Below are 17,698 nucleotides of genomic sequence, written 5' to 3'. Positions count from 1 at the left end.
GCGGTGGAATTAATGGAGTGAGTGATAGACGGAGAATCAAAAGACCTGGATTAGTCTTCGTAGTTTCTCAACATTTTGAGAGTCAGTGTAGAATTATAGAAAATTGGAAAAGTTTTATGGTCCCCTCCAAATCTTCATTTAAATGCCTTCTCTTCACCTGCAATAACATATAAATTGAATAGCAGATGTTTCTTCCTTCTTTGTGTGATTTAAATACTAATAAAAATAATGGCACCCTATGCTAACTTGTATTGAGCATGTGCTATGTATCAAACACATTTCAATTTTACACATATTGCTTCATTAAATTCTTTCAAGTGCCCTATGAAATGTGTCATAATTTTATTTCTATAGTTAGGTATTGAAGTACAAAGGAATCAAATATCTTACCCCTGGTTACAGAGCTAGTTGGAGAATCAGAATTACAACTCAGGAACCTGACTCCAAAGCTTCTGTCTAAACTCCTGTTCTGTACTATACCGTGAAAGTTGTCACAACCCAGAGTTGAGGGCACGTGGCTTGCATGATTGATAGAGAAGATTTACACTTTTTAATGTACAGTCTTGTGGTATAATTTGTCAACAGTGGTTTAGCACAGATTAGATGCCAAGATATAAGAACATAAGAACTGTTTTTGTTTATTAAAACAGTCAACAAATCAACCAACAAACAACCAATATTTACCAATATTTATTTAATTCATAGTTATTAAAATGTGACTTTTTTAAAGGTTAAAGAAGAGTCCATTTGAGAAGGAGAGGGTTAATTCTGGGACAATTGAAAGATTATATTGGAAAAGTTACAATAGGACACGATGGCGAAAGGCCTAGAATGTCAATCTAAGTCTGAACTATAGATGACAAGGAGTTGGACACCTACTCTCTTGATGGTCATAGAGGTGTCTATGGATGGTCTGAATGGTCTCTTTTTGAGCACACACATGCTTTATAATTATTATGAACTTACCTATTTCCTTTAGTAAGCTATTTATAAGCTCTTTGAGATCTATGACAATTTCAAAATTCTTCTGACCAGTGCAGACAAACTGTGTGTCCACCATTAAGGCCCCATGGGCCAGTCCAATAACCCACCCATAAAATGAGCCCCACCTATCTCTGAGAAGGGATTTTCTCTCAGAAGTTGGAATAGATTAAGAACCTAAAATCAGCTCAAACTTATTTGCTTTGGGCTTCCTTTCTTTTTCTTGGGAGAAAAAGACATGTTTGTTTTCTTTATGCAAATTCTAGGTTTATAAATACTGTTTTTTTCTCTGATTTTCAGGGTCCTTCTAATCTCCTGCTCTGTGAGGGCAAGACTTAGAAATAATCACTCTAGGAATCTCACCAAAGCAATGTCTCACCACTGCTCTTCAATATAAGAGAGCTGGCACAAAATTTCAGTGTGGCAGTTATTTTACATGAGAACTTTGAGGCCAGGCATGGTGGCTCACACCTGTAATCACAGCACTTTGGGAGGCTGAGGTGGGTGGATTACGAGATTACGAGGTCAAGAGATCGAGACCATCCTGGCCAACATGGTGAAACTCCATCTCTACTAAAAAAATACAAAAATTAGCTGGGCGTGGTGGTGCACTCCTGTAGTCCCAGCTACTAGGGAGGCTGAGGCAGAAGAATTGCTTGAACCTGGAAGGTGGAGGTTGCAGTGAGCAAAGATCGCACCACTGTACTCCAGCCTGGTGACCGAGCAAAACTCTGTCTCAAAAAAAAAAAAAAAAAAAAAAAAAAGAACTTTGAAAATGTTTGAAAATGTCACTCCATAGTTCTCTGAATTCAATTGTTTTTTATGAGACTCTGCTGTCAATCTAATTCTAATTATTTTGTAGGATATTTTTCCCCCTCTCCTTGCTTTTAAGGTTTTACTTTTGTCTTTATTGTTCAGAAGTTTTACCATGATGTGTTAAGATATGGATTGGTTTTTAATTTATTCTTCTCAGGACTCAATGTACCTTTTCATCTTTTTTCCACTCAGAAAAATTATTGGCCATTGTCTCGCCAAATATTGCCTACTCTCCATCTTTCTATTTCCTCCTACTAGAATCTTCTAATTTTCCTTTTCTGAACATCCTGTAAGATATGTCCTTGCACCTTCTTATGTTATTATTTTCAAATATCTCATAATTTCTGTGACAAGCTCTAAATTCTACTTTATTTCCTTATGTTTATCTTCCAGTTTACTGAGTCTCTTTTCGGCTGTATCTAATCTATTTACATCTACCATACTGTTTACAATTTTAGTGACTATCTTTTATTCCTCAAAGTATTATTTATTTTTAAAATATTCATATTATTTTTTCATACTCCCTTTATAATTTCTGTTTTGTCTTTTTGTCTCTAATTATATACATATATATACACACACACATATAAATAATTTTTTCTAGTTTGTGAGATGCTAATTTTCCTCATTATTACTTGTTGAATTTCCTTCATTATAATTTATTATGTTAGTTTATAATCTTAAGTGGAAACTAATATTTGGATGGTGTTTCTTTTGTAGGAGGGCCATGTGTCTTGGAACTATCCTTACATAGTGGTTTTGAATTTGTAGCTGATAAGATCCTTGTGGTCACACTAATTTCAAAACAGATTTTGTCTTTATTTCTTATTTGGACTTTTAAAAATTATGGCAATAATGTGAATGAATTTAGATCACCTACAACACATGCTTCAGGCTTGGCATTTCCATTTCTTATGGTAACTTTATTTTCTCACTTACAGTTAGATACAAACTTCCTTGAGCTGGATAATTAAATATTATCTCCTTTTCATAGATGGAATGGCATTTCAAGGTTCCCAGCCTTATGCAAGGGTCTGTGTTACAACTTGTTTCCTTTCTCTTTCTCTCTCTTTCTTTCTCCACCTACCCCTTTGTCTATCTCTCCACCCTCTCACCTCCCCAGGCCAAATCTCCTACCTACTGTGTGGTTGTAAAATTCCCAGCCACTGATTGATAAGACCCCTGTGAATCAGTGCAACATTGTCTCTTACTTAACACTCTTGCCTTAATTTTCCATTTTGTTTTTATCCCTTAAGTATTTTTTTCTTTCCTTTGAGCTCAGCATAAAGGCCAGGAGCAAAGCTGGTATTGCAGAGAAAGATGTATTTAATTAAAGGACTGTGTATTACATTTTTCCTGACTTTGACCAATATTTATGGTACTAAGGAAGTCCTGCAACATCAGCTCAGCCTGCCAAGTTGTTAGAGGTTGCCTTCACCCAATATCATGGATCTTTAGTTTTCAGATAGAACCAATGTTTGAAAGAGTTTGCAGGGTTCACTTAAGGGTAGCTTCCATAGCACCACTCTGATTTTGAGACACTAGTCAAGAAGCAGAATAGTTGTGCTGGGTATTCCCATGTAATGTTTGCCTAACAATGTAGCAGTCAGTGTAAGGATGCACTTCCGTTTTCATTATAATGATTTAATTTGAATTGCAGCTATGCTGCATTTATCTGTGTCACTGCTACCCATTGTTATGGTTGGCAAATAATAACAAAGAACATTCATTGAGCTCTTACCTATGTGCCAGGCAGTGCTCTAAATACTTCAGATGTATAATTCCATTTTATCTTTACAACAAAGAACTGAAGCACAGAGAGAATAAATAACTTGCTTGTGGTCACACAAGTGGTAGAGCCAGTATTCAAATCTGGGCATTCTAATGCTACAGCCTCATGCTTATTTAAGTGAGCACTTAAATAAATATATGTTGAATGAATGAATAGAAATATGTTGACATTATTACCATTACTACAGTCATCATCATCATTATCTTTGGGGAAGAAGAATGCATTTAAAATAGATCCTTGCTGACTATGAGCAAATAGATGATGGATGAACAAGAAAACCTACAGGCAAGAATTACATTAAGTAAGCTGCATAGGAATGTGCCTAGCCCAAAGGTTTACATTTTTAATTAGAACCATGACAAATTGTCCTTTTTTCCCCATACATAGCTCCAAGCACACTACTTGTGCAGCTAAGCATTGTGGAAACTTTTTCTTTTAGATCCAGCTTTATTTCTTCTAAAAGCTTCAGTTCTTAGAACTGCAGATAGAGACTTGAAATAAAGCAAATTTTAAAATGATCTTTGGTAGCATCCTGTAGATACAATGTTCTGTGTAGTGGAAAGAGCATATTTTTAAAAGACAGGTTTGGGGTCAAATCTAAGCTTCACTGCTTCCTGTACCTCAGTTTCCCCACTTGTAGAGTGAACAATGGAGAGTTAAACTAGTAGGGCTGTTTTGAAGACTAATTTAGATAATGTAACTAGGGTAGGCAGTTCCATGTCTGAGTCATGGTACTTCTGAACCCCTAATGATGGAAAGAGTGGACACATCATTTCTTCTCTAAGGCCTCACCGTTTAAGCTTGGGTTTGTCCTTGGGATTGGCCCTCCCTCTGTGCAGAAGGGAACCACTGCAGAGCAGCATGGTCTAGTAGTCAGGAGCACTAACTACAGAGCCAAATGACCTGCTGTAAACCTTAATCTGCCACTAGCTGTCTGTATGACTTTGGGCAAGGCTGTCTGTACCTCAGTGTCTTTGTCTGTCAAATGGGCATAAAAATAGACACTATCTTATAAGATAACTATAAAAATTAAATGAGCTAATATTTGGTAGCTGTCACTTAGAAGGTGTTTATGTAAGGATCTGTTAAATAAATAAATAAATATAGTCACTCAGAGTTAAAGATGAATGGTGAGTTTCAAATGCATATGCTTTGGACACTTATTTAAAACCTCTACTTAATAATTTAAAGGTTACAAGGTCAGGAGATCGAGACCATCTTGGCTAACACGGTGAAACCCCGTCTCTACTAAAAATACAAAAAATTAGCCAGGCGCGGCGGCAGGCGCCTGTAGTCCCAGCTACTCGGGAGGCTGAGGCAGGAGAATGGCGTGAACCTGGGAGGTGGAGCTTGCAGTGAGCCGAGATTGTGCCACTGCAATCCGGCCTGGGCTAAAGAGCGGGACTCCGTCTCAAAAAAAAAAATAATAATAAATAATAATAATAATAATAATTTAAAGGTTATCTTCATCATAGGTGGGTGCATCTCTAGTGAGATGTTTTCGTTAAGTTTTTTATTTTGTTGCTTCCTCTTGTCAGGCCCAGAGAATGAGAAGGTGTTGGAATTGTAATTGTAGGACTTTAAAAGGAGGATTCTTGTCTGGGTAGATAAGTGAGGCTGAGCTCCTCATGGCTAGAGGTCAGTGGCTTTAGGTCCTGGTGACAGGAGTGACCTCCTGGGAAGGGACAGGGTGGATGTGTCCTAGAAGCAATGATGCCTGACATCCAGTCACAGTGTAATGTCCTCATTTTGTTTTTGCACTTTGGCAAAACACATCCAACCTGAAGACCTTGTGTTTGCTGTGTATTGGGACTTCGAGAAGAACTTCGGTTCTACTACGGTGGAGAAATAGATATAGCAATGTGCAAAGTGGCCCTGAGAGGCTGGTGGCAATGCAGAGACATGATTTCAAGGCAACCATGGTGAATGGACTTAAGCTCAGAGAAGCAGCCCAATAGGAGAGGTGACAAGCAGCAAAAAGATTTTTGAAACATAAAGCAGTCTTTGGAAATTCTCAGAATGCCAGTGTGGCAATTCCTCAAAGAACTAAAAACAGAACTACTATTCAATGTACCAGTCCCATCACTGGGTATATACCCAAAGGAATGTAAATTCTACCATAAAGACTCATGCATGCAAATGTTTATTGCAGCACTATTTACCATAGTGAAGACATGAAATCAACCTAGATGCCCATCAATGGTAGACTGGATAAAGAAAATGTGGTACATATACACCATAGAATACTATGCAGCCATTAAAGAGAATAAGATTATGTCTTTTGCAGGAACATAGATGGAGCTGGAGGCCATTATCCTTAGCAAACTAATTCAGGAACAGAAAATAGAATACCACATGTTATCATTTATAAGTGAGAGCTAAATGATGAGAACACATAGACACATAGAGGGGAACAACAGACAGTGGGGCCTAGTTGAGGGTGGAGGGCGAAGGTCAGAAAAAAAATAACTATTGGGTACTATGCTTAGTACCTGGGTGATAAAATGATCTGTACACCAAACCCCCATGACACAAGTTTACCTGTATAACAAACCTGCACATGTACCCCTGAACCTAAGATAAAAGTTTAAAAAAAGAAAGAAAATAAAGAAATAAAAAGAAAAAAAGAGAAATGCCTGGAAAATGCCCTGGCCTTCCAGCAAGCTGTAGGATGAGTGCTTATATTATCTGATTATTTAAAAATAAAGACTTAACTCTGAACATCTGTAGAATATGGGCATCCAATGTTTATTCTTAAAGCAGCTAGCACAGTGCCCAGCACATTGTAAATGCTCAATCATTGATCTCCTTACTTTTCTTTTGTATCCTTTGTGAACTAAGGTCCTCCCAAGGCACCCAGAACTAGTGCCGAGAGGGCAGTGGCTTCCTTGTGTCCTGCTCCCAGGCCCAGAACAGCCTCAACCGCTTTGCCAAGCAGACCGTCCTACCTTGCCTCTCCTGGTTGGTCTCTATCATGCCCACGGCTGTAGCACCCAGGGACACCTCTTCCCTGACATCAGAGTAGATGTGGAAAAGCAGTGTCTTCTGTTGGCATGCTGAGCAGAGGCTTTCTCAATGAGCCATTTGACATCCCTGACAGCCCATGCCAGAGGAACCTTCATCCAGAAAATGTGGAGTATAGAATTACCTGGGTTTCCAGTCAGCGACCTGGCAGGTGCTTGCCTACCCAGCAGGGTCTGTGCTCACCTAAGCATTTCCTGCAAAAGAAGAAAAATCAATCTCTTTTCCCTTGTCCTCCAAACAAATGACTTTGAATAATTGTTCTGATTCAGTTCCTCTGGCTGACAGGCCTGGCTCTGTCTTCTTCTGACAGGGGCTGACATCCTGTGAGCCTGTGTCCTGCCTCTCCTTGTTCTTCTAGACACCAGCATCTTTTTGTCCTGTTGCTAACAAGTGTGACACTCTGTGCTGCCTTTGACAAGGCATGCAGGTTGGGATGAGATGCATTATTCAGCTGGCACCAGGGAGCTTGTTGGATCTCGGTTTAGGTCACGGTGGACCCGAGTCCTAGGCCCACACTACTCAAAGTGTGATATGTGCACAACAGGTAATAGATGATATGGTTTTCCATGGTACTTGGACTGAACACTTTACTGTAGTAGAAAGACACCTGTTTTCTCTTAGAATATAGAGCTTCTCCTTAGGTTAGGTTTTTTACTCAAATCACTTGAGGCAAAAAGTGAGTCAATTTAAAGGAGATAATAGCGCTGGCACAATATGGGTATGGAAAAAGTCATGAAGGCAATCTATGAACAAATACCATGTAGGCAAATTTGACTCAGGGAGGAAGCTGAGCTGTCTAGTCATACAGGGCATTTATCCAGCACTTTTTGAGCACCTTCTTTTTTTTTCTTTTTTCTTTTCTTTTTCTTTTGAGACAGAGTCTTGCTCTGTCACCCAGGCTGGAGTGCAGTGGCGCGATCTCGGCTCACTGCAAGCTCTGCCTCCCAGGTTCACACCATTCTCCTGCCTCAGCCTCCCGAGTAGCTGGAACAACAGGTGCCCACCACCACGCCCAGCTAATTTTTGGATTTCACTGCATTAGCTAGGATGGTCTCGATCTCCTGATCTGCCAGTCTCGGCCTCCCAAAGTTCTGGGATTACAAGCGTGAGCCACCGCGCCCATCCTGAGCACTTTCTATGTGCCCCTCACTGTGCTAGGCTGTTGCAGAGCTGGGGGCATAGAGGTGGCTGTGAGCATACGAGGATGCCGACCAATGGTGGGGCTGGGTGAGCATTTGTGAATTGTTTGGGATTGACTGACTGTCCTATAGCAAAAACAAGCTGCAGGGCCAGGTGCTTTGTGACTCTAAGCGGAAGGGTCTGGTACCAGACCTAAAGTAAGATAATGTCAAAGGCTGGTCCAGGCAGAACTTGACATTTTTAGATAAGTGTATAACAAGTACGGTTCCTTGAGTCTAAACCGAGTCATTGACATGCAAGCCTAATCCAGTAGGTGACCTCTGAGGGGCTGAATTGCATGAGGGCTGCTTCTGTTGAACGAGGGAGAGAGAAATGTGGCATATGAGTATCACCTTTTTCCCTAATATGGTATAAGAACCATCACTTACTGACCACAGGACAGATTGGGCACCACACAACACTGGAGGGCGTCATTCTCATCTTAGGCATTGCTTGCACCTGAATTGTGGCGATTCCAGGCAGATGAAAGTAAACTCTCTGGTTCTATCCCAATCAGCCTACTATAACCATTTTCTAGTAGATGGAAGTAAAGTATCTTGAAGAAAAGGTGCCTATAGCAAATGCACAGGCCAATCCCTGAAATGCCCAATTGGCAGGCACCACGTGAGGTATCACGGTTTTTTTAAATCTGGATGTTGCCTACCATCAAATTCTTGGCTCATTTTCTGCTCAAGCTTCTGCCTTGCCCCTTTGACTTATTTCAAGGCTTTAGGAAGCGAACGAATAACAGTCTACTTTCTCCACCTGAGAGGCCAAAGAATCAGGCAGATAGAGATGAAACTATCACCGTTATTATGAATGATACTGGAGTAAAGTGGGTCAGCCTGTTGGAAAGCGATCTTGCTAACTAACCCTGAATAAGGCACGTTTATTCATCCAGCTGCTGGCACAACTTCACACCCATGCGTCTCCCCTGATAGGGGCAGGCTCTTTACAACACGTAAGCGAGCAGGTGAGAAAAAGGGTGCAGGTAGGCAGACCCCATTTAGGGGAGACTGGGGGGGCCTGCAACTCTGTAGTTTAAGTCATGTTGCTCCCTCTGGGGAAAAAGTCCAGGAACATTACTCAAATGGAGGCCCCTCTAGGTGTGAATGAGGTACCCTAGGGTTGCGGTAACAAATTGCCAAAAAACCAGGTGCCAAAACCAACAGGTATTTATTCTATTGCAGTCTGGAGGCCAAAAGTCCCAAATCAAAGTGTGGGCAAGACCATGATCCCCTTGAAGGCTCTACTCCTTGCCTCTTCCAGTTTCTGGTGGCTCTAGGGTTCCTGGGCTTGTGGCTGCTCATTCCAGTTTCTGCCTCTGTCTTCACATGGTCTTCTCCTCCTGTGTGTGAGTCTCCTCTTCCGACTCTTACAACATCACTTGCTATTGGACTGAGAGCTTACCCGGATAATCGAGGATAATGTCATCTCGAGGTCCTTAACTTAATTACATTGCAAAGACCTTTTCTCCAAAGAAGGTCACATTTGCACATTTTGGGAATTAGGATATAGACATATTTTTTGTGGGGGGGCACCATTCAACATGCTGCAATATGAAAACATGAAGAATGGAGGATAAATGCTCTCCCCCAAGGCCCTTCTTTCTCAGCAGTGCAGACCCCAGGCTCATGCTGGTAACCCTCCCTTCTAGACCCCTCACCCCTAACCCTGGCTGTCTCTCCTGTTGGAGCACTCAGGTGCAGCACCCTGGAGGCACAGAAAGGTCCTACGCAGTGGTGACCACCAACTTCTCTGCCCTTTTTCTTTTTTCTTAGATGTATTTTAAGTATCGTGTTCGAAATGATTCCTTGGTGAGTCCTTCCCTTGTCACCCAACCCACATGCTGGCTAGAGCTAAGGCTTTAGTGGAAATAGAGAGAAATTACATTTTAATGCTCCAGAAAGAGGTAGGAAGGAAAAGAGAGGGAGGGAGAAAAATGGCAAAGAGCCAGCAGAATTAAGTGGAACAAGCTGAGGGGCCAGTGAAAATGTTTAGTTGATATGTAGCCCGCCCATAGATATTTTAAGAAGGGGGAGGACTGTGGTGTTCTTATTGCTGTCATATAAACCTCCTTTCCCTTTTAAAATCTTTAGTAAAGACTTTAGTGTTCACAGATGATTGGTGGGGCTGGTTCCTATTTGGTGAGTGGAGGTTTCAGGAAGTTTCATATCTGGGTCAACCCAAAGCCCAGAAAAGAGGCAGTCCACAATGAGTCAGTATCCAGGAAGTAGAGGCGGGAATGGAAAAGGAAGATTCCAAGAATTTTCAAAAACACAAGAAAAGAGCTTTGGACTTCCACAGGCCATGGACTGGGGAGAGGTATAAGCCGATATAAATCCATCTTTTGGGGGTAAGGAGATATCCATCTAAAAGCTGGGTTACATTTTTTCTAGTCGTTTTTCCTCAGTTATTGAAATAAATGCAAATTTCCTTTGATGACTCAACATTTGCTTGATTTTTAAATTCCAGAATAGTGACCTTGAAGATGTATACCCAGTTTTAAATAACTTGCATCTTTTTAATGCTAAGAAGCAGCAAAATTTTTGACTTAAAACTATGTCCCAACCTTTACTCAGCAGGTGGTCCCTTGCAGAAGAATATCAGGATTGGCAGGAGAGAGAGAATTGAGATACGGAAAAAAACCGGCACAGGCATTTCCCCTCGATGTTTGTAATTGACCTTGCTAGAGATGTACACAGCACTAAATTTGTAATCAGAATCGTGTGTGGAAATAGCCTTTTGCTTAATTCCTTTGTGTTATTCCCTCTCTCTCTCTCTCTCTTTTTAACAACGGCAAGGTATTAAGCTGAAGATAGAAGGACATTATAATTTTATAAGTTTCTTAATGATAGGAGGATGTCTGCTTTTGCCGTCAGGTGTGTCTGGGGAGGGTGTGCTGAGGGGGAAACCCAGGAATCTTCCTGTGGGGGTCCCACAGGAATCTTCCCTGACCTTCCAGTTTCTCAGGGCCTCATTCCTGTGGGAGTGAGAAAGAGAGGGAGGAATGGGGAAATCAGAGCCCAGAATCCTTGCTCTAACCATGCAAGGCCGAATCTCTGTCCCCTGCATAGCAAGGGATTACATGCAACTGTTTATCCGAGAGAGTGCACATGAAGGATTCAGCTGAAAGCTCTTCCAGGAGATGGTAGGAGAGGGAGGAGGGCAGCCAGCATGGGCTGATAAAGGTACAAGATTCAGAGATTGATTCCTTTTCTGTGCTGCATCCTCTGTTGAACACACCAGACTCCCAGTAGTCAATGGGCAGCTTCAGCGCCGTGCTCAGGCAATTTAAAACTTTCTAAGATTATCCCTCAATACCTGTTCCAGGCTCAGAGGAGAGAAGAAACAGGGTCACTGACAATTTTTATGGATCAGGAAAGTGAAAAGCTGACGTACAAGCTTTCTTCAAATGAAAAAGGAGGGAGGTAGAATCTATTTTTTTCCCCTTTCACTCCACCCTGTTCTTTTATCTGTCTCTATATTCACTCTGCTCTTTCCCCCTCGTATGCTGACTCTCCATTTCCCTCTGTCTTTAGTCTTTTTGCTTGTTTATTTTTCTGTTCTTCTTTGATTTTTTTCACGTTTTAAACAACTGCTAAAGCAAAAACCAAAGCTGACAAAACAGCAAACATATATTGTTTTATTACCTAGCCTCCGAGCTTCTAACAGTATGAGCATAATATCTCTCCCTAGAGAGATGGTCATTTTGAGAAAATGGCTTGAGCTGGCAGCAAACTCAGTAAATTTCATTCCTCCTGAGCTGTGCGTGACCTCACAAATCCAAAGGTGACCTTTCTTTGTCCTCTTCCATTAAGATAGGTTAGCGGTTCTCACAGGAGCCCTCTGCAGCGGAATTCAGGATTGAATCAAATTCACCATCCGTTGTATTATCCCAGCAGTTATCAGCCCTTGTAGAATGCTACAACAAAAATCAAGGTTAGAGTGGACTTTTATGAGAAAGTATTTTTCTTTTCTTTTCTTTTTTTCTCTCTTCTCAGGACTAAGGCTGTGTGAGGGGAGGATTCCAGGTCCTTTATGAGAGAAATTGTTGGGAACAAACTGTCCCTTGTGACAGTGGGGGAGTTTGACCTTCATTGTTGCTCTCCATTTCAAACTAATTACCTGCTCCGTGGGCAGGCTGGGCAATAAATCCACCAGGCATGGCGTCTGAGTTCTGGCAGCTTCAAAGTGAGGCTTCAGCATCATGAATAGTAGAGGGTCACTTCTGGCAATGGTTGAACACCTTTCTGACTCAAGAATGAATCCTGAGGGATGCTGTCCAATAGGATTTAAGGAATCAGCACTGGATTTAGGATCCAGAAGAGATGGAAAGTTTGGGGTCCCTTTCCACAGAAATGCCCTATTGGCTCACACTTTTGTTCATTCACCTATGCAATGCTGCCTGATCTCCTATTCTCTGTAAAACACTGTGCTGAATATTAGGAAGGAGACAATATCATTCATAGAAAAGTTTCTCAATATTTAGCGTACACCAGGTTCTCCTGGGAAGATTGTTAACAAGGCAGATTTTTGTCACAAATACCAAAGATTTTAATTTGGAAAATCTGGAGTGAGGTCCCATGTCTACATGTTTTACAGGCAGCTTTGTAATCCTTGTAGAAATGACCTTTGACTGACACGATGAGAGACACTGGCTTCGTGGTGAAAAGTGCAGGCTTCTGATCTTATAGATATGGATTCATACCAATCACAGCCTCTAAAATAAGCTTTTCTCAGTCTGAAGCCTAGTTCCACCCCTTGGTAGCTGTTTGAATTAGTTAAGATAATGCCAGCTGCTGTATAAACTCCCCAATTTCAGTGCCTCAATACATTTGTTTCTCATGTAGGTGGTGCTTCCAGGTGGATATTCCTGGTTGATTGGTGTAGTCAGAGAGATTCAAGAGCCTTTCTTTACGGTGGGCTCCTTAGAGTTCTCTGCATCCAGATAGCAGATAAAGGCGGAAGTGGGGAAAGGCACAACTGATTCTTAAATACCTTCACTTGGAATGGACACACATCACTTCCACTTGGATTCTATTGCTGAGAACTAGTCACAGGTCCTGCCTGGATGCCAGGTGGCTGGGGAATAGTCATGTTAGGTTCCGCTTCCATGCAACCACTCTATATTATGGCAATGAAACAATACATTTTGCCAGACCACAGCCTTCTCTGCCACATTGTGTAAACTTGGCTGAGTCTCTAAATCTCACTGTCCTTATCTGTAAAATGGAGCTAACACTGCCTACCTCATCAGGTTGATAAAAGGATCATATGAGCAAATAAATATAGTACTATATGTACAGTGCCTGGCACACAGTAGGCACCCAATACATTTTAGCTCTTAGTTATGAATTCTGTCCCAAGGAGATCATGGCATGTACAGACAACAAGGTAGTCAGATGTGAGTACCACGAAAAAGGAGAAGCTAGAGTGTTATGGGGATTTGGAAGAGGGAAGAGACCACTTGCAAATACTGAAATCAGGGAAGACTTCAAAGAATTGACCTATGAACTGGGTTTTGGAGGATGAATAGTATTTGTGCATGCAAGGTATGAGATAAGGGCATTCCAAGCAAAAACAATGGTATGCATATAGGCATGGCAGAGAGAAAGGACAAAAAATATGCAGAGGATGTTTAATATGGTTGGAATATATAGGTGAGTGATGGTGACTTAAATGTCAGAAAAATGAAGTATTCAAGAAGATAATTAAGAAGTTATGGGGCCCAGCATGGTGGCTCATGCCTGTAATCCCAGCACTTTGGGAGGCCGAGGTGGGAGGATCTCCTGAGGTTAGGACTTCGAGACAAGCCTGGCCAACATGATGAAATCCCACCTCTACTAAAAATACACAGATTAGCTGGGCATGGTGGCAGGCACCTGTAATCCCAGCTGCTTGGGAGGCTGAGGCAGGAGAATCACTTGAACCTGGGAGGCAGAGGCTACAGTGAGCCAAGATTGTACCACTCCACTCCAGCCTGGGCGACAGAGTGAGACTCCATCTAAAAAAAAAAGAAAAAAAAAGTTATGATAAGGCCAGTTGCAGTGGCTCACACCTGTAATACCAGCACTTTGAAAGGCTAAGTAGGGGAGGATCACTTGAGGCCAGGAGTTCAAGACCAGCCTGGGCAACACAGTGAGATCCTGGTTAAGATGGTAAATTTCATGTTATATGTTTTTTAAACCATTATTCCTATTATAAGGAATAATACAGTAAATTATTTAAGGAATACCATATTATCAATATAGTTGAAGTCCTCTGTATACTCCTGCAAACTATATATCCTATTCATTTCCCTCCCAGAGGCAACCATCAGCCTGAACTTAGTATTTATCGTTCCCATGCATTTCTGTTTCATTTTACTACTTCACATGTATGCATTCATGGGCAATATAATAATATAGTGAATATTTAAACATTTTCTATAATGGTGTCATATGAATGTATTATCATGCACCTGACTTTCTGCCCCACATTATGTTTGGGAGACTAATCTGTGCTGCCATAGCTCAACTTCAGTGGTTCTCAAACTTTAGTGTGCACTAAAATTGCCTGGAGGGCTTGGTAATACACAGATTGCTGAGCTCAACCCCCAGAGTTTCTGCAGTTGGACTACGTAAGGACCTGAGAATGAATATTTATCATAAGTTCCTAGACGATGCCAATGCTATCAGTCCTGGAGAACTACTGCTCGTTATTTTTTTTTTTTTTTTGCTGTTAGATATTGTTAACTACCTATCATAATTTATTTATTCACTCTACTGTTGATAGATATTTAGGTTGCTTCCAGATTCTTTTGTATGATGCTATGAATATTGTGTACATGTGGGAGAGCTTCATTTGCATAGAAAAGTCTTGTCCAGTTCTATCCATCCTTGTTGATTAGCCTTCATGAAAGAGTCCCCATTGTTCCACATTCTTGCCAACCCTAAGTACTGTCCGACGTTTTAACTTTTGCCAATCTTAGAAGGGTGAAATGCTTATTGTTGTTTTCATCTACGTTTTCCTATTAATGAGACTGAGCACCTGCAGCAAATGCTCCATTTTCCTTGCCTTACCTGAGTTTGCCTCTAGCTCCCACATGTCCAAGCCCTATGCTGGCTTCCCACTGCAGTCTCCTGCATGTATCTTTCTTCTTTTCTGCCTGAGGGCTTTACCCAGCAGATGGGATAGCTCCTCTGTGGGACAGTGTGGGGTCATGTGCTACATGGTATCTCAAGAGAGTATCACTGGGGCTTTACTCTGTTGCCCTCCATGGTGAAATGATCATTAATTCTTGTTTGTTTTTGTTTTGCTTTCTACAATCCTTGTCTTACTGTCCCTATTTTCTTTTCTTTTCTTTTTTTTTTTTTTTGAGATGGAGTGTCACGCTGTCGCCCACTGCAAGCTCCGCCTCCTGGGTTCACACCATTCTTCTGCCTCAGTCTCCCAAGTAGCTGGGACTACAGGCACCCGCCACCAAGCCTGGCTTATTTTTTTGTATTTGCAGTAGAGATGGGGTTTCACTGTGTTAGCCAGGATGGTCTCGATCTCCTGACCTTGTGATCTACCTGCCTCGGCCTCCCTAAGTGCTGGGATTACAGGCGTGAGCCACCACGCCCAGCCCCCCAAGCCCTTTTTAATCCACTCAAGAGAGTGGGATAGCTCTCACTAGGTCCCACCTCCCAACACTGTTGATTTGGCACAAGAATTTGTGGGGGAGGGCACATTCAGACCATAGCATGTGGTATTATTAGTGCAGGAACTGGCAAACAGAACAATGGTGCAGAATAAAAAGAGAACTAGACCCAGGCACATATGGACATTTAGCACGTGACAGAGCTAGTATTGAAGAACAATGCAGGAAGGAAGGAGTATTCTGTAAAAGGCATCGAGACAACTGATTATCTATATGGAAAAAAATAAAATTGGATCCTTTCCTTCCACTAAATAAATACCAATTCCAGCTGAATTAGAAATCTCAATTTTAGAAACAGATGAATAATTTTTTTCTTTTGAGATGGAGTTTTGCTCTTTCACCCAGGCTGGAGTGAAGTGGTATGATCTCGGCTCACTGCAACCTCTGCCTCCCAAATTCAACTGATTCTCCTGCCTCAGCCTCCTGAGTAGCTGGGATTACAGGCATGCGCCACCACACCTGGCTAATCTTTGTATTTTTAGTAGAGACGGGATTTCGACATGTTGGCCAGCTGGTCTCAAACTCCTGACCTCAGGTGATCCACTTGTCTCGGCCTCCCAAAGTGCTAGGATTAAAGGCGTGAGCCACCACGCCCAGCCTTAAACAGACGAGGAATATTTCTATGACTTCAAGAATGATGTCTTAAGGGAAAAAAAAGCACACACACAAATCATAAAGGAGATTATTGACAGTTTCTCCTACATTGCATTTGAAATTTCTACTCATCAGGGACACCATTGAAAAGTGGAAAGATAATCACAAACTGGGATAAAATATTCTCTCTCTACATAAATAATTAAGGTCAATATTTAGTATATACAATAACTATTATGAGTTAAAAAGGGAAAGATAAACATCCCTATAGGAAAATGGGCAAAAATAGAAACAACCTGTTATTAATAAATAAATAACCTATAAACATAAAGTGATGCTCTTAGTTTGGGTTCCCCCTAAAAGTACACCATGAAACTAGACCTCTGGTGCAAGTAGTTTACTTGAAAGGTGACTCCAAGAATCACAAGAAAGTAGGGACTGTAAGGCCGGGCACGGTGGCATTTAGTGCTGTATACCTAGGAATACAGCTTACAAGGGATATAAAGAAAGAAGCACATTTTGGAGAGAAAATCAAGGTGTGGCCAATTAACCATTTGGTATGGAGTTTAGTATTGCTAGAAGAAAGCCAGGTTCTAGACATCAAGAAAATGGAAGAATGCCCCTGAAAGTATATCAGAGATTTTTGAGGCTCCCCCTCCCATTGTAGGCCCAGAGTAGGGCCTTGGGGGCAGAATGGTTTCCAGGGCACCAGGAGGACCCAGGGTGCTCGTGGGACCTTGGGGTTTGCTGTGCAGGGCCACCTCAAGTCTTTACTCCCTGCTTTCTGGCCCAGCACTCCTCAGCTGTCCCAGCTGAGGCCAGGCTGTAACATAAAGGAATAAAGCCACATCGCAAAGTCAATGCCCCAGAAAATTCTAATTCTGCCTTAGGTTGGCGAAAACAGATAATTTCATGTGAAAGACCGGGCTCCCTCGAAAATGGAACCTGAAGGAAAATCCTGCATGCACACACTTCAGTAGGGAACCATTCTCTCAGCCAAGTAGGTATGAGATTAAAGAGAGAGTGTGGCAAGGAAGGAGGCAGAGCAGATAGAAGAGTGTGCTGGCGACTGGCCACAGCTTTGTAAAGGGCCAGGAGATTCCTTGGTCTCTGAGGTCGTTCTCAGAAGGGCTGCTTAAATGACTGTGTCTCCAAATACATGATGGGAAAAAGAAAGGAGAGGAATTTTTTTATTTGAGCACCTTTCTCACACTGACCAAACATGCCTATTATTTATATATTTTGCTCCCCCCGGCCCCCCAAATTTGTATGTTGAAGTAGTAGACAGGACTTTAAAGGGCAATTAAGTTAAGATTAGTTCTTTAGGTTGGGCCCTAATCCAGTATTACTTGTGTCCTTATAAGAAGAAGAGACGAGGACACAGATACACAAAGAGAACCCATCTGAAGACACAGGGAGAAGATGGCCATCTACAAGTGAAGAAGAGAGACCCCAGAAGAAAGGAACCATGTAAACACCTTGATCTTGGACTTGTAGCCTCCAGAACTGTGAGAAATAAATTTCTACTGTTTAAGCTACTCAGTTTGTGGCATAGGTACACCTTGAAGACATTGGAGATTCCATTCCTGACCATTGCAATAAAGAAGGTGGATCATGAGGTCAGGAAA

At 41.7% G+C, this 17,698-nt stretch overlaps 1 protein-coding gene and 1 long non-coding RNA gene across 7 annotated transcripts in view; both read left to right on the top strand.

The window, feature by feature from the left end:
• The window catches only part of LARGE1 (LARGE xylosyl- and glucuronyltransferase 1), an 856,162-nt gene that overhangs the window by 691,075 nt on the left and 147,389 nt on the right, over nt 1-17,698 (top strand). The window lies entirely within an intron of this gene.
• LOC124905106 (uncharacterized) lies at nt 9,965-17,608 on the top strand. Of its 2 annotated transcripts, none has more exons than XR_007068071.1 (2): nt 9,965-10,148; nt 17,438-17,608. It is a non-coding gene; the product is annotated as an uncharacterized LOC124905106 (long non-coding RNA). The 2 variants fall into 2 exon arrangements; XR_007068070.1 differs by having other exon boundaries at nt 17,435-17,608.

The sequence above is a fragment of the Homo sapiens genome, chromosome 22 (genome assembly GCF_000001405.40).
Source record: "Homo sapiens chromosome 22, GRCh38.p14 Primary Assembly".
In the NCBI taxonomy this organism is placed as follows: domain Eukaryota; kingdom Metazoa; phylum Chordata; class Mammalia; order Primates; family Hominidae; genus Homo; species Homo sapiens.
This window is presented reverse-complemented; position numbering and strand designations above follow the sequence as displayed.